Source organism: Homo sapiens, chromosome 7 (genome assembly GCF_000001405.40).
Source record: "Homo sapiens chromosome 7, GRCh38.p14 Primary Assembly".
Classification (NCBI taxonomy): domain Eukaryota; kingdom Metazoa; phylum Chordata; class Mammalia; order Primates; family Hominidae; genus Homo; species Homo sapiens.
In genome coordinates this window covers 50,840,838-50,865,794 of record NC_000007.14, presented here as the reverse complement: position 1 = coordinate 50,865,794, position 24,957 = coordinate 50,840,838, and the positions used below count along the sequence as shown (strand labels likewise).

The window sequence follows — 24,957 nt, the reverse complement described above, 5'->3', positions numbered from 1 at the left end:
TATCATGTTAGCACATAAGGCTATTTCTAATTCAAAACAACTATTTTAAAGGGAGCAATCTAGCTCCATATACTAGAACGTACCAGGGCCACTCCCTGTGGATCTGGGAAACATTCCCTCAGGATACGTCCTATTCAAAGCGCTGAGCTGGCAAGAGAATTTGTGTAGAAAGAGCGTTTGGAAAGTCCCATTGCTGTACCTGCCAATGTGCACAGGACTTTTACCAATCCTGTGTCCAATTTCAGAATCTGCTTCCTTGTTATTTCCTTAGCCAAAAAAACATTGACAAGAATAATAATGACAATTAGCATGCTGTGAGGAATACCCTGCTAAAAACGAACAGTGTCCAAGTAGCTGACTCAACATTTGCATCAACAGGCCCCCACTCATGTGATCACTGCCATCTCAGGTTCACACCTGTTTCCATCGCGAAGCACGCAGCACTCGTGGTCTGCTAAGCCTGGAGATCTCAATATTGTATCCGCCACGACATGTGATGACGCTTCCTTACAGGACCCCCTGCCTTGGGCAATATGAAGTTTTATAAAGTTATACACAATTCCAGAGGCAGCTTCTGTAACCCAGGAGTATATCACGGTATGCAGGTTAATGATGGGATGTGATGGAGGGGCTATTCTAGTTGTTTGTTAGTAAATCATCCACAAACTTTGGTGCTTTACTAGCATCAAACTTTGCCACTCTTAACAAATGAGCACGACCCACCAGCATGTTACAGCTCTGGGACTGCAAACCGTCTCTTGATTCCTTATTGCTGTGGACTGAATTGCACTCCATCCCCATGCATCCGTTGAAGCCCTAATCCCTGAGGATACTGTGTATTTGGCAGTAGGGCCTTTAGGGAGGCAATTAAGGTTAATGAGGTCATCAAGGGGGGGCCCTGATTCAATAGCACTGCAGTCCTTGTGAGAAAGGAAGAGACGCAGAGCACTCTCTCTCACTGCAGGAACCCAGAGGAAAGGCCATGGGAGGACATAGTGGTGAGAAGGGGGCATCACAGGCCAGGAAAGGAGCCCCACCAGAAACAATTTTCTGTCACCTTGACAGTGGGCTTCTAAGCCTCCAGAACTGTGAGAAGATAAGTGTCTGTTGTTTAAGTGTACCCACTTAGGGGGACTTTGTTGCAGCAGCCTCTGAGGAATGCGCACTGTTTGCTCCTATCCTCTCACAACACAGAACACTTCTGTGACCAGGTGTGTGGGGTTTTCTCCTACACACCAAGCAATTATCCAGTGGACACCAAATGGATGTCCTACAATTCAGTTCCATTCTATCTACCTGGAGACAGCATCAGATCCCATGGGAGAAGGGCTCAGTCCCATAGGGCTGTCCCCACCCCGCCCCAACCCGGCTTCAGATGCCAATCACAAGGCCCAGGCTGTGACCTGTGCTTCTGACCAACATGCTATAAATTAGTGTTCCCATGACTGCCCTCATGGGTCCAATAATTTAGGAGGATGGCTCACAGAACTCAGGGAGACACTTAACTTATGTTTACTGATTTATTATAAAGGATAAAGATAGCCACTGGAATAAAGAGGTACATGGGGCAAGGTCTGGAAGGGTCCTGAGTGCAGAAACATTTGTCCTCGTGGAGTGGGAGTCCACTATCCTCTCGGCACAGGGATGTATTCTCCAATCCAGAAGCTCCTCAAACATCATTGTTCAAGAGTTTTTATTGACCTTAATCTCCAGCTCCCCCAACTTTTTGGAAGTTGGTGGATGGGGCTGAAAGTTCCAACCCTCTATTTTTCTGATCACTTGGTCTTTTGAGTGACTGGTCCCAGCCTGAGGCTACATAGGGACCCCACCCCAAATCACCGCCTGAGCATTATGCCTTTGGCTAACACCTGAGTGTTAGCCAAAGGGGCTCATTATGAATAACAAGAGACACTCATCACTCAGGCAATTTCCAGAGTTCAAGGAGCTGTGGGACAGGAACCTGGGACAGAGACCAAACATACTTTTGATTATACCCCACAGCCGGAGCAGACTAATAGACTTATCTGCAATGATGGTGACACATTCATCAGGGCTTGGGGTGGGCGTGACACCAGAGCAATGGAACCGTAGTCTTCCAATCATTCATTTCATAACCATGCATTCTGGGCCTATTGAGTATTGGACTCTCTACAACATAAGGAAGACAGAAATTGAATAAAACTAGGAACTTTATCCTCAAGAAGCTTGCAGCCAGTGGGAGAGCCAGCTTAGGGAGCCATCAACACATGCCAGTGTAGACAAGATATTGAAAGGTGATAAAGATGCAGGGGTCTCTGTAGACCTGAGTCTCAGCTGTGATGTTTGGCACTTGGAAGCAGAATGTAATTGAAATGTCTGGCTGTTCCACAAAGTATGGTTTTCTTAGTTTCACTTTAATTATATATGTGCCCTTCTGTCCCTAAAGGGCAGAGAAGCTAATTAATGTGTCACAAGGGTAAATCAGGTAAGACATATAGACATTGAAATGACTGTCATGAAGGAAGATATTGATACTCAGAGTTTCCTAGAAGCCGGAAGCATGACACACCATGCAGGTCACATGGGGAAGAACCAGGGTCCACCAGGAGGCCAAAGGAGCTGGGGAAGTGTGGGCAGGGGCCTTTGGTGTGGTTTCCACAGGAAGGAACCAGAAAAACAAGTGGCTTAGGATTGGCTACTTTGAAATTTTTCAACAGATTCTGAGGCATAGAATCTTTTTTTTTTTTTTGAGACGGAGTCTCGCTCTGTCACCCAAACTGGAGTGCAGTGGTGCAATCTCGGCTCACTGCAGCCTCCGCCTCCTGGGTTCAAGTGATTCTCGTGCCTCAGCCTCCTGAGTAGCTGAGACTACAGGCATGTGCCACCACACCTGGCTAAGTTTTGTATTTTTAGTACAGATGGTGTTTCACCATGTTGCCCAGGCTGGTCTTGAACTCCTGACCTCAAGTGATCCACCCTGAGGCATAGATTTTAATTGCCCTTAATTGCCTGGTACCTGACCTGGGGGATGAGGACAGGTACATAGTGGACCAGAGTGTAAGAGCTCGATAAAGAAGGTCTCCATAAAGAAGATAAGGGTTCTGGCCTGGTTGGTTTGCATATGCAAGGCAGGAAGTCATTCCATCTAGCCCTGGGAAGGGTAGTTGAGAGTCACCAAAACCCCAGATGTCAAAGTATCAAAAATCTCAGAAAGAAAAGGACCTGATTAATACAGATGGCCAGTGTCCTTGGTGTGGCTTACCGTCCATCACACCCCTGCTGGCAGAGTCTATCTACATTTCAGGAAACCTGCAGGGGAGAATATTACCAAATGCTTTTTCACATCTTGGAGGATGCAAATGGACACAGTGTCATGAAAAACAGATCCCATCAACTATGTTCAGGAGCTATGAGATCATATTATTTCAGACAACTTTCAGCTAAAGAACCAGAGAGGAAACTTGGATGTCTAAACCATCAATTTTGAAAATTTTGAGGGGATTTGTGAAGGATCTTCATTTCCTTCCAGTAGATTCCACAAAACTTCATCCTTCTCTCCGTTAACAGAGTTGCACCATCTGCCTCCTAAAAGGCTACCGTGGACCCTCTACTCTTCCAGTGACTTCATGTCTATTTCTTGCATTTAATCCTCACAACCACCCATGAGGTGGAAGTCATGTTTATTTTACAGATGAGGAAATTGAAGGGAAAGGTTAAGTAATTTACCCAAGTTTACAAAGCTAGAAACCTAAGGCTCCAGGATTGGTCCCCGAGGGTCTGACTCTACCTTCCTACTTCACAGGGTCTGTCCCGCTGTTCTGATTTGATAAGGGTGTGCTCAAGCTGACACGATTTCCTCCAAGTCTTTTTCCAATGGTTCTTTATAATGCATCATGGCCATAGTGGAAGAGGAGGACTTGAACCTGTCCTATTGATCTGCACCAGCTCAGCAAGCCACAGGGCTCCCTGTTCATTGCATACTTTTATGCAGGACTGTGAGAGAATTCACCATTGGATAACAGCAATGAGCATCTACTTATCAAGTATCAGGCAATGGGCTCCGTGAATAATATGCTCGTTCGCATGATAGCAGTGGGAGGCAGATATCATCTGGTCTAATGTCTAAGAACTCATCCTTATTTCTGGTTTCTGGATACAATCCATAATACTCCTTGATGTTTCCACCCCACTCCTGTTTGAAGAGGGCATTTATATTTCTTAAGTTATTCGTGTGTGTCAGGTGCTCTCCATATATCATCTCATTAAAGCTCAAATCACCTCTGTGAAAAAGGTTGCCTAAATAAGAATGGTTGAGGAGCTTGCCTAGGGTCACACAGCTCATAAAGGTCAGATGCTGGATTCTAACCTGGAAGGGTTGGAATTCTAACCTAGAAAACCATATTCTTTCCGCAGACAAGATCATAAGCTTTAGCATGAGGTATACCTGGCTGTCTGGGGCTTGACGGCCCAACTTGTCCTTTTTGAATTTTGGTTTGCAGCTGCCCTGTGGGTCCCAGAGAGGTGTGAGTGGGCTGCCTTGGCTCTGACTGGCATTGTCAGTATGACACCACAGCTCCTTCCTCCTCAATTTCCAACACAGCATCCCTCAGTCACCTCTCATTGAAGGAAGATTATGTCAACTTCCAGGTAAGTGAGGACTTGCTGTCATCAAAGTTTGTGCTGGAAACAGTGTCCTGGAAGCCTGGGTGGGGACAAGGGAATGAGGAGTGGCTAAGATCTAGAGGAAGATATATGAACCACCGATAACATAATATCCCTTCAAAATGTCACTCCTGAAATATGAGTTCGTTGTGGGTAGAAAGAAAGCAAGATTTTATATTAATATAAACTGCTGAAGTCCTCATCTGCAGAACATTGAACCCTTACACCGCTTCTGTCTCCAGGATTGCATGCCCTCCTCGCCATGTTATGCTGGTTTGACCTGGGTTTCTGGGAAAGCAAAGGCTGAAGCCAAAGTATACATGGGATACTTGATCAGGGAGGACAAGCCCAGGCTGGCAGGAGTTGGGGAGAATAGGAGGGAGGTTGGATTGGGGGAGGACAAATAGGAGATGCATCCCCACATTGGCCACTACTCAGTATCAAGGGCCATCCTTTAAGTCTCACAGGCCACACTCAGAGTAGCCAAGCACCACTTGGTCTCAGGGGAGTCAGTGCAGGGAGATAGGAGAGAGGAAGAGAGAAGAATTTAACCTGCCAACTCCCAGCCCCAGTAGTCAAAGTTCCTAACATGGCAGTTAATATTTCAGACACATTCCCTCTGTGTGCGTGGTGTGGCAGCACCCCAAGTTCCCAGCAGTAATCCATAAGGGCAGTAAGTCCTTGCTTTCCTTGTGAGTTCACTTGAGCCGGGTGGGAGTTGACCTTTACGTTTCCACAGAGCCCTTACTTTGTCCTGTCACCCTGGGGACGCAGTTTCCCCTGGAACCAGGCCTTTTAACCAAGCAGAGCCTGTGTTGACAGGGACAGAAAGCACAGACTCCAAAAGGGGTTCCTGGAAGTGATGGGGAGAAGGATCAATCCCACTTCCACCCCTGACTTCTCAGATGCACTTACTCTAGCTGTTGGGAACGTGGCACCATATGTTGGCCATTGACTGATCTTGGCTCAGTTTTCCACAGGCCATTCACTGTTCTCATAGGCCAGTTGCTTCTGTGTGGAAAGTATATGAAGTACATGGTCAGAGCAGTGGATCCTGCGGTCACGTGCCTATTGTTGCACGTATTTTGCTATTAAATTGATTCATTGGTGTCTTCGTCTGTTTGGGTTGCTATAACAAAACACCATTGACCAGGTGGCTTATAAACAATGGAAATGTACTGGTGGCTGGGATATTCAAGGCCAAGGCACCGGTAGTTTCAGTGTCAGGTGAGACCCTGCTTCCTGGTTCACAGCCTGTCTTCCTGCTGTGTCCACATGAAGGAAGGGGCAAGGGAGCTCTCTGGGGTCTCCTTTCTAAGGCCACTGAGTCCATTTATGAAGGCTCTACCCTCATGACCTAATGACCTCTCCAATTCCCTGTCTCCACATCACCTTAGGATGAAGGTTTCAACGTGTGAATTTTCAGAGAAACCTAGACGTTCAGTCTGCAGCACTTGGTATATTCGTTTCCTGGGGCTTCCCAAACAAAGTTTCATAAATTGGATGGTTTGTAACAACCAAAATGGATTTTTTCCCAAATCTGGGGCTAAAAACCTGAAATCCACCTCTTCACAGAGTTGGTTCCCCTTGTAGGTTTCGAGGGAGATTGTTCCAAGCCTGTCTCCTCTCTGATGGTTTTAGCAATGCCCGGTATTTCTTGTCATGCAATCCCATCCCTCCAGTCTGCCATTGTCCTCCCATGGTCGTGTACCTCTCTGTGTGTCTGTGCATCTTCCCCTTGTCTTATGAGGGTTCTAGTTAAGCCGGCCCACCCTCATCCAGTATGACCTCACCTTTACTTGATTATATTTAGGAAGGTCCTATTTCCAAGTAAGGTCGCATTCACAGATACCAGGGGTTAGGCCTTCAGCATGTCTTTTGGGAGGGCACAATTCAACCTGCAACACTTGGTCTGGAAGGAAGATCATGTAAAGGATTACTCGGTCAACCTTGAGCTGGTGATGCTGGCAGAGATGGTAGGGACTAGAAAGGCAGATTCACACCCACAGTGGGTATGGTGAACATAGATGGGTGCTCCTCCATGGTGGAAGGTGTCCAATGCCATTGACCTTTCGCCAAGTGACTAGTTGGTCTCCTCAAGGCACAATGCCACTGAGGGCCCCGCATTGGCCCTTGCTACTGACAAGTTGGGTGTTCTGCTATAACTGCAGCTGGTTGAGACTTTATGATGAAGAGTTCATGCCTTTGAGCTCACACAAAGCTACTCACGTTGCTATCATGGCATCCCCATCATGGGGAGCCATAGAGCAGCAAGCATGCCTAGGAGAGATACTGGCTGGCATGGCAGTAGGAACAGTCCAGTCCAGCTGTGGTTCAGCAGCTCTTCTGGTGGCATCAACACACAGCACAAAGATGTGTGTTCAGATCCACAGGTGTACCACACAACCCCTGCCCAGCTTTCCTTGTCCCCAGTCTTCCAGTCTTGTCCCTTCCCAGTCCTGTCCAACTCATTTCTTTTCCAAGACCCAGGAGTCCACACATATCTGTACCTTAGGCCTCCTGTCTCACTGTATGAAGCAAATAATGACTTCTGCCCACCTGGAGGACTTTCCTTCATCCCTGTCTCAGGTCACCCTGGGTGGGGCTGCAATGCAGCAGTCACCCATTTCACCTACCAGCAGCATATGGCACAAGCCTGCCTTCAACCTCGGCCAGTTTAGGAAAATGCCACAGAGATGAAGCCAAGAAATAAATCACCGACTTCTGCTCATTCCTCCTCTGATCTCTAGCAGGTGTGAACCGAACTGTATTTCCGGGGGAAGGACAGTCTATTAATGTGGCCCATACTGTCCAGCCTCCTGGAGCACAGAGCAGTGGACAAACAGAGCTGAGTGTATCTTGGGGGCAAATGGAACACTCTATGCATATAAAAAACACTTGCATGTACTCCATAAATATGTAAAACATTATGTATCAATAAAAGAAAAAATCTAGCTCAAACAGTAAACACTCCTGCCACTCCTGAAACTGACATTTCCTTAAGAGGGACATCCAACTGTGACCTAAACACAATGCATCCTGTCCCCTCCCAGAAGCTGAGGTGTCCATACTCACAGAGGGTCCCTTTGACAGCTGGTAATGGCTCCCAGAGTCTCTTCCTGGAAGGCACATTGAGCCTGGCAGGCACCCAAGGGCACATGAATCTGACCTCTCTGGGGATTGCTGTCAGCTGCTGCAGATGGAAGGTGCTGCCTCTGCGGCATCTCACCACGGAGCTCCCATTCCTCAGCAACCCCCCATACCTGCTGGCCAAACTGGGGGAATAGAGACATGAGGGACTTTGACCTGAATCCCAAGTAAAATTACTCCAAAATATTTGAAAATTTGAAACAACAAATCATCCCATCTCAAAAAAAAAAAAGAAAAAAACACAAAAAAACAAACAAACAAAAACCTACCCTTTGAAGCTCAGTCTTCTTCTGTCTCCCTACACAGGAAGGTGACATAGCAGGTTCCTTACAGTCAGGGAGAAATTGGAATGGAGAGAGGGGGACTTGGTTAGGCTATCCTCCGTGCTGGTGGAGACAGCTGTGTGTCTGTGTCCTGTCTCTCCAGTAGTCAGGGAGACACTGCCCCACCAGTTTGCCCTTGGCTGGAGCCACCCTGGGTATTGAACACTAAAGCATAAATAAGGCTAAGAAAGAATTGTTAGCTTGGGGCACAGTAGGCTGTCTTTCCCAAAGATGGCTGTAACAATATTTGTCACTCCAATGCTGTCTTATTGTGTGAGTGACTTGGGCATTCCTTGCAGTGAGGGTGCATCTGTGTCTCCACCCTTTGCATCTGAGGATGCTTGTTGCTGTGTCCACCAATAGCATGAGACAGAAGTGATGAGCTGATCTTCAAGGCTTGTTCAGAGAAGTTTGTGCAGCTCTCTGGGGACCTCTGCTCCCTGGAATGCCCTTCTCTGCCCATTCCCACTCGGGACCAGAATACCACACTCTGAGAATCTGAGCCACATGAAGAGGTCACAGGTAGGTGCTCTGGTCTCAGAGGAGCACCCCCCACCCCCCACCTCAGCCATTCCGGCACAGGCTGTGGACAGTGAGTGAGGAAGCCACCTGGAAAGGGGCCCGCAGCCCTGGCTGTCTGCCTCGTCCCAGGCATTCCAGTCTTCCCAGCTAGCCCCAGTCACCAGGGAGCAGAGAAAGGCCTTCCCAGGCCCTGATTCCCGACCCATGGATTCCTGAGCATAAGGAAGTGACTATCTTATGCCACTGAGTTTGGGGTGGTTTGCATGAAGCAATAGTGGGCTCCTTTCCAGGTGGCTTCCTCACTCACTGTCCACAGCCTGTGCCGGAATGGCTGAGGTGTGGGCAGGGGGTGCTCCTCTGAGACCAGAGCACCTACCTGTGGCCCCTTCATGTGTCTCAGATTCTCAGAGTGTGGCATCCTGGTCCTGAGTGGGAATGGCCAGAGAAGGGCACTCTAGGGAGCACAGGTCCCCTCTCTCTGAAGCAACAAGTCAGGTCTTGTAGAAGCCCCTCTCCAGCTGCAGTTGTTTCTGATATCCCTGGGGTGCTGGCCACCTACAGTGGCCAAGATGAAGTCAGAGTGTGAGGTGCCTGAACTGGGAACTCATCCCTGTGTTCAAGAAACCTGCGGTGGCAGCGGGTGCCATCAATGGCATGGCCTGCAGAAGGAACTGGAGCTCTGGGGCTTGAGGGTGCCACGGAGGAGGACTGTCCTGCCTCTCACCTGGGAGAAGCTATCACTGCCTGGAAGATGCAGGCTGACCTGCTCAGAGCCCGCAGAAGTCCATAGGAACCAGGTCCCAGGGCAGCCAACTTTGTCAGCTTTGTCACTGGAGAGAAAGGGAGTGGCAAAAAAGAGAGATGGGAGCCAAGTTCTAATTCACACAGGTACCTCCACAGATCTACAGGATCTCCAAGGCTGCTTAGACCTGGCTTCGTTCCAGCCCTGGCCAGAATTTTTTAACTAGAATTTGTTTTCTAAGCACCCCAGAGATACAAAAATGAAAGGAGAAGGTCTGTAAAGGACCTGACTTGCCATATTGGAGAGGGGACCTAAAGTCACTGGCTTATCAGGCTGCATTTGCATTCATGGCCTGGTCAAGCCTGGTCCTGTGGGTCACGGCTGCATGAGTGGAACACTGGACGTCTATGTGGAAGGTCAGGCTGTGGACTCAGCTCTGCAACGGAGCAGTCTTGTGCCTATGCACTAGCCCATCATGCCATGATACCACCCAGCACAGACAAGGTTGCCTAAATGTAAGTTGAAGCCCAGTGTTTTCAAAGACTTGCTGTGAGGAGTCCTACCTCTGGCAAACCCGCTCAGTGAGTGACCTGGACTGCACCTGTCCTCTGAGCGGTAGCCTCAGACCTCCAGTGGTCCGCAGCTCTATGTGCTATCATGAGCTGCCCCAGCCTCTGGAGAAGACTCCATTCTGCTGTCCAGCCTGCCTCAGAGGCTGAGGATGGGGAAGGTGAAGGAGCATGCTCAACAGGCAAATCAGATTCTTTCTCTATGAAAAATTTGAACTAAGAGATAAGGGGGCTCAGGACAGCTTTTGATGCTAGCAGTAGCTGGAGGCTCTCGGTCCTTTGGGGCTGTGTGCGCTGATGAGGAAGAGGAGAGCTCTGCTGCAGAGTGAGGCTGGAGGCTATCACAGATAGAGCACGCAGAGCAGAGAGACTAGAGGAAGTAGCCCCAAGGACAGTGCAAGAACTGCGAAAACCACTGCTCCTGTCTCCTGATGGATTTCCACTCCCAGTTCCTGCCACTGGGAAAGGCCTGGAGACCCCTACCTGGACTTCATCAGGTACTCACCTTGTCGAGCTTGAGGGGCTTCTGTTTCTTGTGACCATCACTGTCTCCCTCAGACACCCATGTGTCAGAGCACTCAGAAACTTCTAGGCTGGGCTTCCTGATGTGTCCCAAGAATGTGCAAAACTTATTTGCTCATCATAGGAGGCTGGATCATGGACAGGAGGAAGTGAGGTGGTGGTTGTCTGCTGGGAGGATATAGCATCATTCTTTGGGCCCTGCCATTTACCTGGTGACGACAATCTTCAGAGAAATGCCTGGGCTCGGGATATCAGCAACCCTTCCTAAATCACCCCCAGGATGTTTGCTAAATATAAGGAAACCTGGCAGAACAGGTTCTCCCCATAATCCAACAATCAGTCCGTCAGGCCTAGAATCATCCTTGAGCCACAGCTCACCATTTCCCAGTTCTTTGCTTAGTATGGGAAAACAAAAGAGCACCCAGACACCCCAAAATGCAAAGTGGCAAACTAGCTAAGTTCCTGGGGTGAAAACAGCCATAGGGATAGAAGGAGATGACTGGCCTCAGTGCCGGGCAGCTCAGGGGTGTATTTTGTCATGACTGAAGGGGACTGAGAGGAGTGTGTGTGACATGGAGGGACGTGGCATCTGCTGGCGACCTGCTGTGTGCAGGAATTGTGCTTGGCACTCTGTCATTCCTGCAAATCCTCACCATACCCTGATGACGTAGGTACTACAGGAACCCCAGTTCTGGAGCTCATCTAAAACGAGAGGCAGCCAGGATATGAACCGTGTCTGTCTGCCCCAGAGCCTGTGTCTGTCCTCCTGGGCCACACTGCCTCTATCTGCCAACGGAGTGCACCCAGTCCTCACTTAGCTGTCTTGGAAGCTCCTGGGGCCAGTCAGAGCAGGGGCAACCTCCGAAAGCCTCTGCTTCCCACCTGTCTGAAGTCAAGCCTCTTGGACCATGGACAGAGAAGGCAGGTGTGCCCTGCCTGGACCTATGCTGGGGGCAGACAAATGTCCCAGCCCTGCAGGTGCCCTTGCTTCCTGTCTATCCCCTACCTCTAGGGCCTGCGCTGAACCTGACCTCCGCCCAGGACTGGCCCTTTGTTTCATCTTCACTGTTTCCACCTCTCCATCTTCCTTTTCTTCTCTCAAACATTTATTTAGCAACAGGTAATATAGCAGCAACTGTCCTCTGAAGACATGGAGGTGAACTGCCATTATCTAAAATCAGAAGGTGAAACTGACAGGAAATAGACAAAGAACAGTATAGACAAAAGAGCCAGGGGATGTGGTATAGTGTCCATGGCTGCCTTGGGCTAATCTAGAACACAACCTGTGTATTACAGAAGAATCTCCTGGTGGGGAGGAAGCCTGGTTAAAGAAATTCAGATTCCTTGGCCCTACCCAGACCATCTGCTTCAATACCTCTGAAAACTTGGGAGGATGTGGCAGCTTTACAAATATCAGAAGGACTTACCATAGGGTAGAAGGACTGGACTAGAGATTGCAATGGAACCAGGCTCTGTGGGCAGAAGGAGAAGCAGTTCTTCAACCCAGAGAGGAAAATGCAAACCCAGGCTGGACAGCCACGGTATCAGTCCAGGGGCCCTGGGGAGTGGAGCCACCACCACCGTGAGCATGGTGGAAATGCAACTTGCCTTATTGGAGTTAAGCCTTACCCACATGCTGGGGAGTAAAGGTCTGGAAAGGGAGCCACCAACCAGCCTGCCTTAGAATGGTGTGAGTAGCCATATGGGAGCATGTCAGGAAAGCCAGGAGGCCAATAGCATGTCCAGCCAGCAAAGTGACTGCAGCAGGGAGCTCAGGGAGAAGCTTTTGAGGAGCTGATGCCTCTGGTGGCGGCTGCCCCTCTGGGTCTGCACAGGTGTCTGGTTGTTAGCCTGGGGCACTCTTGGCCAGCAGCGGCTGAAGGCAGGAAGAAGAGCTGGGTGCAGAGCATAGAATGCAGGTGGGAGACACAGAGCATCCTGCATCTGTCTGTCGCCACGTCTGAGCAAGATGGCCTTCTCAGAGTCATGGCAGCCACTTCACTCCTGCCTCTCAAATATCTCACAAGTTCCTCTTTTGTTCACCCTTACCCAAAACTATCCTACTAGGGCAAGAGATTCTAGGAAATATTGTTGCAGCCTAGCCAAGTGTCCAGGGCCCATCCAGCACTCCCACTGGTGGGTTTGCAGGGGTGCAAGAACTGGCAGGAGAATTGGATTGGGAAGACAGATGAGTCAGCCTGAAGCTCTGAGCCTGACTCCAGTGAGGACCCACATTCCTTTAGGAAATTCCTGCCAGGTGGTCCTAAGGGGTGGAAGTTAAGTGAGCCACACACATGCACCCACACACACATGCACACAGACACAAACATAGAGACACACTCACACAGAGACACACATAAATACATACACACACAGAACTATATATACTCACATATACACAGGCAGAGACACACACAGACACAAACACAGAGACACACTCACACAGAGACACACATGAACACATACACACACAGACATATATATACTCACATATACACAGGCAAAGACATGCACACAGACACAAACACAGAGACACACACAGTCACACATAAAGACATACACAGAAACACACATACATAAACACACATTTATATACACACAGACACACATAAAGAGACACACATACACACAAAAACATACACTCAGACTTGCACACAGACATACAGAAACACACTCATACATAAAGACACACAGATAAACACATACACACATACACAGACACACAGAGATACATACATAAATCACACAGACTTTCACACATACAAATCGGCACACACACACACACAAACACACAGATTCACAGACACACTAAAGAGACACACACACCCATAGCCATACACACACTTACACACACAGATATACAGACTCACAGACACACACACATATACACGGACACAGACACAGTTACACACACAAATAGACACAGACACATATAGACACATATACACAAGCACATAAAGACACACATGGACACACACACTTGCACACAGACACACAGGCCGACACACTCACATGCACACCTCTGCTATCTCCCTTGCCCCTGATTTTGTAACTCCTCAGCCCTGCCCTCCTGGTTCCAGTGCCTATCTCCTTTGTCCTCCATTTCCCAACTTCAGGAATCCTACCCAAGAACCTCCTTTGCCCCGCTTTCCACCTGGAGAAGGTCTAGTTCCCGACCACACCCAGCTGGAATATTAGCTCCTGCAGGAGGCTTCCCTCAGCCACAGCTAGCAGAGCAGTCAGTGGCTCCCTGCCAGCACGGACACACTTCAGATGCACCGCCATTAGATCACAACACACAATCTCAGCCTTCATGAAACTCTTCCACCCACCTTTGGCCACCGCTCTCTGAAGGAAAAATTCACTGTATTCATCTCACCCAAGAGAGACATAGTATGTTGTTCAGTAAACGTAGATAAGTGGGTACTTTTCAGGTGATGCTTCTTCCATAGTCCTGTACATTTTAATCAGTTAATTTTAATGTCAGTCAATTATTAACAGCTGGAGTTGTTGGTGAAAGTTATGCCCTGGGAAGGAGTCATGGTGAGATGTTCACGGCTGGAAGCCTCCCCCATGACCAGAGTTTCCACCCCACCTGCTCTCTGGGGTGGGAAGCTGGGGTGGAGACAGATGGAACCACACATATAGACCGGAAAGTGGCAAGCGGCAAGCGCATGATTGAAACCTGCTTCTGCTCTGCTTCCCACCCCCCGCCCAAAAGGGAAGCCTCTCTTTGGTTTTCCATAAGGAGTGTCTGTGTTTGGTCACCAGACAACTCTTACTCATTGAAGGGTGCGTAGGAGTTGGCAGGAAAACTCCACTATGAAACTTCCTAGCTTCGTAAGGAAAATGCCTCCTCTATGAACAGAGGATCTAGTTTAGAGCTTGAAAGAGGCAATGCCAGATTTTAAGAGTAACCTCTGGTTAAATCAAAATAGAATAGGGAATGAACATTTTTTTAGCTTACAACAGACCAGACCTTAGGAATTTTAGCAACTGTTATCTAAGTTAATTTTAATAACCTTATAAATGGCCACAGTTGAGGAAGCCAAGGCCCAGGGATGTTAAATAACTTTTCTCAGGATGGCCAGGGAGAGCACAGCTCCTTTCATTCTCTACATCTCATGGCAGTTTCAAAGACTTTCAGACAAAATTATACACTTGCACGGTATAGGATGCCCAGCAGTGACCTTCTCTTTGCTACAGAGTTGGACTTAACTTGCTTAATAGAACAAATAAGAATTCTTTGAAATAATTTCTAGAAACAAAATTCTTTTTTCATTTTTTTGAGACATAGTTTCATTCTGTTGCCCAGGCTAGAGACACAATCATTTCTCACTGCAGCCTTAATGTCTTGGGCTCAAGCAATCCTCCCCTCTTGGCCTCCCAAAGTGCTGGAATTACAGGCATAAGCCACCATGCCTGGCACAGGAACAGAATTCTCAAGTGACATATTCTTGGGTTTTGCTGTCTTTCAGGTCTCAGGGACATTGACTATAAATAGAGAAGTCATTCATGAAGCAAAATGACCAAGGAGGATGCCTGGTAATTTAAATTCTTCTTGGGAAGAATGTAACAGTGTTAATTTTTTCACTTACTTATTCTTTTCCTTCTTGCCTACCATATTTTTTTCAACTTTGGGTAAAAATGTAATAAGTTGTATTGCAATTTTTAACAAGTGTTACCCACATCAATATTGAAGGGTCAGTTGCTTCACAAATTTACCAAACAATACTCTTCACCAAAACACTATTGTTGGAAAGGGACCACCTCAACTAAGAGCCCCTCAAAACCAAATCCCCAGTGGGTTACATCACCCCATAACCTCTTGTTACTCATCTTCTTCATATCCACTTGTCTTTTTACAATGTTCCACTATACTTGTTGGTATAAAGATCAGTAATCCATGGTTCTAGCCTTTGAGGGGCTTGTGAGAGAAAGACATGGCATGCCATGGACCAACTTAGTGGAGGTACAAGTGTCCCTGGAGCACAGAAAGGGAGGAACTACATCTCCCCAGGGGAGTTCCAGAAGTTGCCACAGACTGTGACCTGGGCTTTGAAGGGTGAGTAGGAGTTGGCAGGGGAAGGAGAGGGGGAGAATGTGGAAGGACTGGGAGCAGTCATGGCCTGAGGGGAGACAGGACCCCTTGGCACAGAGATGGCATCTATGGCCATGCAACTAACTCGGGAGGTCACCTGGGCAGGCTGTGTTGGCCAGAGAAGAGCAATGGGTTCCATGGATCCTAGGTCAATTCAACAGTCAGCAACCACACAGGAGAGAGGGCCTCCAGACTGAAACCTACCAACTGTGGGAATGTGAGGCTGAAGTCAAGTAAAATCAGAACGTGAAGAGGTGAGAAGGGCGCTGGGTGGGTTATCCGCATGGAGGCTGTGATCACCAAGGCCTGGGACAGGGGTAGAGGACGAGAGGAAGACAGGGAGCTGGCCCTGAAATCCTCAGGATGAGGAAGAAGGAGGGTGGTAACAACAAGGAGCATGGAGGCATGAGGGGCTAGGGGTTTTAGAGAAAAGGGAAAGAAATGGTTGAGAGACAGAAAGTGGAGCAAGGAGGACACAGCCCAAACCACTAGGCATTGGCTATGTTGAGTATGAGAAAAGAAAAGGCCTTTCTCGTGTGGGCTTCAGAGAAAGCAGAGACCTTGGAGGACAGAGAAGTTTCTGTTAGGACAGGGAGGGGATATGCAGAGAACAGGCTGAAGATAGAGGGGAATCACTGTTGGACCTGGAATTCCAGGGGTACAGTGGGAGGCCAAGGACATGCACAGGGAGCAGGGCTGGAGGATGTTGGACACCCTGCAGGGCTTGTGTTTCTGCAGGTGGCTGAGGAAGACAGGGATGGGGATGCTGGAGGATCGGTCCTGATTATGTCTTCAGGGAAAGAGGGAAATATTAAGTCCAGATGGCATGGGGCCATTCTTTCCTGCAGGGCCCCATCCTTTCACAGAGAGCTGTTCTCCCAGGCAATGAAATGCTTCTGGCACCACCAGGCTCTGCTCTCTACCAGCACAGGTGGGTCGCAATAGCCAGGGGGTGAGCTGTGCAGTGGAGTGGACCTGCAGGAGCCCAAGCCTCGAGGGGAGGATGAAGGCTTTCGGGATGAGGCATTGTCTACGCTGCATCTTCAATGTATCAGAAGGTGTTAACAAGGCGAAGAGGGTTGTAGGCAAAGGGAAGAATGCCTGCAAAAACCCAGATTCCTGAAATGCCACTCAATGATCAGTTTGACCTCACCAGCTCATGTGTGGAGAGGCGAGTGATGCATCTGGGATGCCAAGGTGAGAAGTGGTCACCTAATAATATAAGGCCCAGGGAGCTCCAAAACAGAGTTAAGAACAAGATGAACAACTCACACATCCAGTTTCTCTTTCACCATTCTCTTCCCTGTAGAGTCACATCGCATCTAAGCCCCATTGGGGAACTTATGCATTCTTGGCTTACACCTGGCAGGGCTGATAAGACTCAAAGCGGATAATTGTGTGTTGCTATGGACTGAATGTTTCCGTCCTCCACCCCCTAAAATATGCTGATGCCCTAACCCCATTGTGACGGTATGTAGAGATGGGGTCTTTGGATGAGGTCATGGGAGTGTAGCCCCTATGATGAGATCAGCACCCTTATAAGAGGCAGAAGAGACCAAAGCACAGTTTTTTTTCTCTCTCTCTCTCTCTTTCTCATTCTTTCCTCCCACCATATAAGCACCTAGCAAGAAGGTGGCCATCTACAACGAGAGCCCTCATCAAACACTGGGTCTACCAGCAGCTTGATCTTGGATTTCCCAGCCTCCAAAACTATGGTAAATATATTTCTTGTTTAAGCCACCCAGTCTATGGCATTTTGTTATGGCAGCCCAAATTGACAAAGACATGTGAATGTACTTTGTAAACCATAAAATGCTATGCATTTGTTTATTATTCATGGTTGGGTGTTTGAGTCATTTCCAGCTTGTAAATACTATATTATAAAGATTCCTGTGCAAATAGATTTTGGGTTATTTTTGAGGTCTATTTTCCACAGCATGATTGCCTGGCTAAAGACTGTGGTCTCTTTTATGGTTAGTGTTTTAGCTCCTACTTTATGGCTCTGTTTTCTTACGTTATCTCAATTGATGTCAAGTTGAATTTCAGCATATTGGTTTATCCTATTTTTACTATAAAAGTCATTTGAGGAAGGAGAGCAGGAAAAGTTGTTTGGTTTTTTTTAACCTGTAACACAAGTTCATAGAATGAGGGCTGAATATTCTGATTTAGATGAGCTTTCTCTAGAAACAATGCCACAAATGCATCCAGATGAATGTAACCATATTTACAATCTATTTAGACTCATTTAGAGCTCAGTACCTTTCTAGCTAGGTCACTTTGAACAAATTATTTAACTTCTCTAAGCCCCAGTATCCTCACTAGAAAATGGAAGAAAATACCTACTTCTTTGAGATCATTTTGAGGTGCTTTTTGATAAGACATTGTGTTGAGTTCTTAGACTGTTACTTGGCCCATAATAAGACTGCTGTAACAACTTGCTGAGGTTTTAGATTGGACTACATGAAGCATCATTTTTATACATTTAATATCAAACATCAGAGAGTTCAAATAGCTCAGCCCATTTTTTTTTCAACAAGAAGAAAGAGTTTAACTTTTCTTTCAGCAGCTCTTTGATACCATCAGAGACCCAGGCTCCTTCGAAATCACTACTCCACTACCCATAATTCTTTTTTTGCTTTTATTATTATTTGTAGTCAGCATATTATAATTGTACATATTTGCATTGTACAATGTGATATTTTGACATGTGTATACGATGCATAATGATCAAATGAGGGTAATTAACATATCCAACACCTCAAGCACTTATCATTTCCTTGTGTTGAAAACAGAAAATCTGCTCTTTTAGCTACTTAAAAATATTCAGTAAATTGTTGTTAGTCACAGTCATCCTACAGTGCTATACAACACTAGAACTGATTTCTCCTGTCTAGCTATAACTTTGTATTCATTAACTGAACTTTGTCAGCCTGTTTTTATTAATCCCAAAATAATCATCGTTTTTGTTGTCACCCACAGTCCATCTTCCCCTTCTCTTTGGCTAAGTGCACCTGAGGCTATGGAATACTCACCAAAGACCCTTGGGCAACCAACTGAAGGGCATTCACTACAAATTCTGAAGCCCTCCTGACACTGATCTTCCTGAGAATGAGTCTAAAGTCAAAGCCCTTGGCCCACATCCATTGCCCCCATCCTCTCACAATGACATTCTCCCACCTTAAAAATTGAGAATTGCATACCCCAAGGTGTCAAATCCTCCAGAACACCAAGTAAGGGGCAATCCAGAATTCTGGTGGCAGAAATCCTGCTTTGATCAAGACACCAAAAGTCTTTGAATCCACCCAAAACAAGGGCTTTGAGATAAAAGTTAACCTTTGTATCTAATAACTATTGATCAACATTTAAAATGTCCATTAATTTGACCAGTTGTGTACTAATACTAACTGTATGTATAACTCAATTCAAAAGAAAAATTTTTTAAACATTTATGGTCACCAAAATTTTTTTAAATTTCTTTTTATTTTATTTTATTTATTTTTTATTATTATTATACTTTTAAGTTTCAGGGTACATGTGCACAATGTGCAGGTTAGTTACATATGTATACATGTGCCATGCTGGTGTGCTGCACCCATTAACTCGTCATTTAGCATTAGGTATATCTCCTAATGCTATCCCTCCCCCCTCCCCCCACCCCATTAAATTTCTATTATACACATACCCAACATTAAAGATGAACTTGCTATGTTTGTTTGTTTTTGTAATAGATAATGGTGGGTATAAAATTATTTGGGTATTTGTATTCCATTTGTGTGTAGGCTGTTTTTTTTTTTTTTTTTTTTTTTTTGAGATGGAGTTTCGCTCTTGTTGCCCAGGCTGGTGTGCAATGGCACGATCTCGGCTCACCACAACCTCCATCCACTGGGTTCAATCAATTCTCCTGCCTCAGCCTCCCAAGTAGCTAGGATTACAATCATGCACCACCACACCTGGCTAATTTTGTATTTTTTTTTTAGTAGAGACAGGGTTTCTCCATGTCGGTCAGGCTAGTCCCGAACTCCTGACTATCGGGGAACCTGCCCCGATACTCACACAGGTTCTTTTCTATCTTCCCTAAGCGTTGGCTGGTTTGAGAAATAAAGGGACAGAGTACAAAAGAGAGAAATTTTAAAGCTGGGCATCCGGGGGAGACATCACATGTCGGTAGGTTGTGTGATGCCCCACAAGCCGCAAAACCAGCAAGTTTTTATTAGGAATTTTCAAAAGGGGAGGGAGTGTATGAATAGGGTGTGGGTCACAAAGATCACGTACTTCACAAGGTAATAGAATATCACAAGGCAAATGGAGGCAGGGCAAGATCACAGGACCACAGGACCGGGGCGAAATTAAAATTGCTAATGAAGTTTCGGGCACCATTGTCATTGATAACATCTTATCAGGAGACAGTGTTTTGAGAGCAACTGGTCTGACCAAAATTTATTAGGCAGTAATTTCCTCTTCCTAATAAGCCTGGGGGCGCTATGGGAGACTGGGATTTATTTCACCCCTACAGTCTCCACCATAGAAGACAGCCATACCCAGGGGGCCATCTATAGACCCACCCCAGGTGCTTATTCTCTTTCCCAGGGATGTTCCTTGCTGAGAAAAAGAATTCAGTGATATTTCTCCCATTTGCTTTTGAAAGAAGAGAAATATGGCTCTGTTCCACCCGGCTCACTGGCGGTCAGAGTTTAAGGTTGTCTCTCTTGTTCCCTGAACAATTGCTGTTATCCTGTTCTTTTTTCAAGGTGCCCAGATTTCATATTGTTTAAACACACATGCTCTACAATTTGTGCAGTTAATGCAATTATCACAGGGTCCTGAGGTGACGTACATCCTCCTCGGCTTATGAGATGACAGGAGTAAGAGATTAAAGTAAAGACAGGCATAGGAAATCAAAAGGGTATTGATTGGGGAAGTGATAAGTGTCCATGAAATCTTCACAATTTATGTTTAGAGATTGCAGTAAAGACAGGCATAAGAAATTATAAAAGTATTAATTTGGGGAACTAATAAATGTCCATGAAATCTTCACAATCCACGTTCTTCTGCCATGGCTTCAGTTGGTCCCTCTGTTTTGGGTCCCTGACTTCCCACAACACCTGACCTCAGGTGATCCGCCCGCCTCGGCCTCCCAAGGGCTGGGATTACAGGCATGAGCCACCGCGCCTGGCCATCATAGGCTGTTCTTGAATTGCTATAAAGAAATACCAGAGGCTGGGTAATTTGTAAAGAAAAAAGGTTTATTTGGCTCCTGCTTCTGCAGGCTGTACAGGAAGCATGGCACGGGCATCTGCTCAGCTTCTGGGAAGGCTTCAGGAAGCTCCCAATCATGCCAGAAGGTAAAGGGGGAGCAGGCATCTCACACGGCAGGAGCGGGAGCAAGGGAGAACGATGGGGAAGATGCCACACACTTTTAAACAACCAGATCGTGTGAGAAATCAGTATCACGAGGAGAGCGCCAAGGGGATGGTGCTAAACTATTTTTGAGAAATCCACCATCATGATCCAGTCACCTCCCACCAGGCCCCACCTCCAACACTGGGGATTACATCTCAACATGAGATTTGGCTGAGACAAATATCCAAATCATATCACCACTGTTACATTTTAAAGGAGAAATATAATTATTTTTATTTAAAATGTCCATGTTCACATATTAGTATAAAAGGCATCCTTTGCCACTGCTTAAACTTATCAAAAAATTTTAGATGTTGACTTAAAAACACACACAAAAGATAAATAGTTTCTCAAAATTCATTTTGAGGGTAAAAAATATGAAGGACCATTGTCCTAGAGAAGCTTGGCCAAAGGTGGGGACAGAGAGGAGGCAAAGCTGTCCTTTCCTTCCTTCAACATGTCCCCTGGCAGAAGCCACTGCTGGTTTGGAGGGAAGAAGTCCAGTGAGAATTCAGCAATGGGGTGAGTGATACCTGGTCTCCCAGGCTGGGGAGGGGAGCCATGAGCTCCCCCAGAGCAAATGGGCAGAGAGAATTCTGGAGTTTCCATTAAGCAGCAGATAAGACAAACAGGGAACTTTGTCCCCCTTCTACCAAGCACTCACAACCAGGGCTGTCTTCTCTTCCCTTGCGCACTTCCCACAGCCTCCCCAGACACCCTGGCTTACAGAGATCTGCTCTCACAAGCCCACACTGTTTCTCAAGTTCTCCAAAGTTTCCAGGCATCCTGTACCCACAGAAAAAAGCCTACGTCCCTTTGTTGAAATTCAAGGTCATTGGAGGCAGCTTAGCTTTCACCAGCCAAACAGATTCACTTGCCTTCTTGCTTCTGACCATGCTCACATCGTTCCTCACACTGCAGCATCCTACCTGGGAAAAGCCCTGCAGGCCCATTGAGAACACTCTCCTTTCCACAAAGCTGTCTGGATGCCCAGCTAACTGGAGTTCAGAGTCAGGCCCCAGAGAATCTTAAAAGTGCATGATCTGGCTTTCTCCGCCATCATGGTGTGGGTGGGTGACTCCATTTCTCCCCATTTCTTCTCACAAGACTTCCAGGGTCAAGCGATTCCTGGCCAAGAAACAAAAGCAAAATTGTCCCATTCCCCAATGGATTCAGATGAAAACTGGTGATAAGTCAGGTGCAACTCCAAGAGGAGACATTGGAGAAGAACCAAGCTGGGTCTGTAAGGAATTGCACATGAGATGGCACACATATTTATGCTGCATCAAGGTCATCATTGCCATGTCAAGCTGAAAATGTCACCATTATCTGGACACTTGGACATGTTTTACTGGGAATATATTTTTTTCTCTTTGTTTATATGTTCTGCACTAGTCAGATGGGTTCATTAATAAATTTGTGAGAACTTTCATTAAAAAAAAAAGTGTACATATCTGTAGGACCTGGAGAAGATGGGGACTGTCACATGAGGAGCAGGGCAGGGTGTGTGGGCTCAGGAGAGGGGTTGGAGGCAGTGCCTTAGGTGGCTCCCCGGTCGGTACTTTGAGGCCATATCTAAGGGATTCCCAAGGCGTCACTGTTGGGAAGGAAGAGACGAGTTTGTGACAGCCACTTAGCCTCCTCCAAACTTTCTCCCCAGAAACCATTCTTTTTTTTTTTTTTTTTTTTTTTTTTGAGAGGGAGTCTTGCTCTGTCACCCAGGCTGGAGTACAGTGGCGCGATCTCGGCTCGCTGCAACTTCCGCCCCCCGGGTTCGAGCGATTCTCCCACCTCAGCCTCCTGAGTAGCTGGGATTACAGACATGCTGTAATTTTTTTTTTTGTATTTTTAGTAGAGACAGGGTTTCACCATCTTGGCCAGGCTGGTCTTGAACTCCTGACCTCATAATCCACCCGCCTCAGCCTCCCAAAGTGCTGGGATTACAGGCGTGAGCCACCGCGTCCGGCCCAGAAACCATTCTTATAGGTGTCACATCATCAGACCCCAGCAAGTTCAAAGAGTTCAGCCTATTATTGTTAATCTGATGATAACCATCACGGTTGTTCTCACCACGACTTGATTATTTTCACTCCACTTCGCTACGCACATTCTGCTTACCAAGAAAACAAAGGCACTGACCTTCCCCTGGCCCCTGTTTCAACAGTCTAATGCAAGCCCTTCTTTCTCTCCCTTCCCCATCAGTTTCAGAGAAACAGGTACACTGCCCTGTCCACTGGGACCCGCAGCCCTGCCTTTGCTATACATCTCTCCTGCTGTCCCTCTGTTATTCCTTGGTTTGCCTTTATATTTAACCTTTTCCTGCCTACTCTCTTCCCTTTTTATAATGAGAAACCCTCTGAAGTCTCTCCCATTCTTTGGAAAACAAAACAACCCTTTGACTTCCAATTCCCCATCTACCAACTGTATCTCTCCTTCCCTTCTCAGCCACACCTCCAGAAGTTCCCATCTTTAGGGGCTGACTTTGCCTCCTATCCTTTCCTCTGCCCACTGTTTCTCTGGAACTGCTGGTCAGGAGCCACTAGCAGCCTCCACACGTCCCCACAGGAATTGTCCTCCTGGGATTCCCACACCGGCCTTTCGGCAACAGCTCACGCACCCCTCCTCTCCACAGCAAGACTGCCTGTCTTACTCATCACCCTACTCTTGGGCCAGTCACAGTGCCTGAAACTGTAGGTCCCAAAATATCTGTTGAGTGAATCCAGGAATGAGTGAATATGCGCCACAGCCTCTTTCTCGAGACTTCTTCCCTTGGTTTCCCCAATATCCTTTCTTTCTGGTTTTCTCTGGCCTTTTCTTCCCAGGATCCTGTGGTAAATCCCTCCTCTCCACGCTCAAGCATCTCTGGGTCTCCTTTCCAGGCCGGACAGTAGCGCACGCAGGGACTGTGCCACCAGACAGAGGGGCGGCTCAGCTCCCAGATGCAGTAGCCACGATCACTTGGGCAAGTTACAAAGCCACTCTGAGACTGCGTCCTTCCCACAAAAATGAAGGTAATCATACCTATCACAGAAGACTGTGGTAAGAAAATGAACTATTGATAATAAGTGCTTAGTACAATGCCAGGCAGGTTGTGAAGTCAATAGATGGTAATGATGATGATGGTGACAACAGTGTCCCTAGACGATCTCCTGCACTCCTGACATTTTACTTTATTTTGTTTATTTTTGAGACAAAGTCTCACTCTGTGGTTCAGGCTGGAGTGCAGTGGTGCCATCTCGGTTCACTGCAACCTCTGCCTCCTGAATTAAACTGATTCTCCTGCCTCAGCCTCCGGAGTAGCTGGGATTATAGGCACAAGCCGACACGCCCACCTAATTTTTGTATTTTTAGTAGAGACGGGGTTTCACCATGTTGGCCAGGCTGGTCTCAAACTCCTGACCTCAGATGATCCACCTACCTCAGCCTCCCAAAGTGCTGATATTACAGGTGTGAGCCACTGCACCCGGCCCACTCCTAACATTTTAGCTACTGCCTCTGGTCTGACAGCTCCCAAATATGTACCATTAGTCCTGACTTCTCTGCTAAGCTCCAGACCTACGTTCAGAATTCATAGGATGGAACTTGTTTTCCTTCTCAAAACTTGCTCTTCACCCTACACTGCCATTCTCAGTGAATTGTACCATGATCTACTCAATTCATTGCCAGAGTGAGTAGTAAGAAAGAAAGAAAGAAAGAAAAAAAACCAGAAAGTAGATTTAGTTCACTTATTGAAGAACTGACTCAAATAGCTATAAAAGACATTTTAGAGACAACTGGGAAAATTTTCATATGAACCGAATGTTCGATTATATTTAGGAATTATTGTCAATCTTCTTGCTCATGGTGGTAGGATGGTGATTATATAAGAGGTGTCCTTGTTCCTGGATGATGTAGGCTAAAAGTGTTTGAGGATAGAGTACCTTGATATCTACAATTTACTTTTAAATTGCTCTGAAAAAATGTACACATATACATATACACACATAC

General features: G+C 46.8%; 1 pseudogene, besides 2 other annotated features; it reads left to right on the top strand.

The window, feature by feature from the left end:
• Positions 11,761-12,261: an enhancer, noted in NCBI's record as "H3K4me1 hESC enhancer chr7:50921231-50921731 (GRCh37/hg19 assembly coordinates)". NCBI's record gives its function as "activates a minimal SCP1, AML or CMV promoter by ChIP-STARR-seq in primed H9 embryonic stem cells {active_cell/tissue: H9 hESC(primed)}" and the evidence as "EXISTENCE:reporter gene assay evidence [ECO:0000049][PMID:30033119]".
• Positions 12,262-12,762: an enhancer, noted in NCBI's record as "H3K4me1 hESC enhancer chr7:50920730-50921230 (GRCh37/hg19 assembly coordinates)". NCBI's record gives its function as "activates a minimal SCP1, AML or CMV promoter by ChIP-STARR-seq in primed H9 embryonic stem cells {active_cell/tissue: H9 hESC(primed)}" and the evidence as "EXISTENCE:reporter gene assay evidence [ECO:0000049][PMID:30033119]".
• On the top strand, positions 22,013-22,404 carry RPL39P23 (ribosomal protein L39 pseudogene 23; annotated as a pseudogene).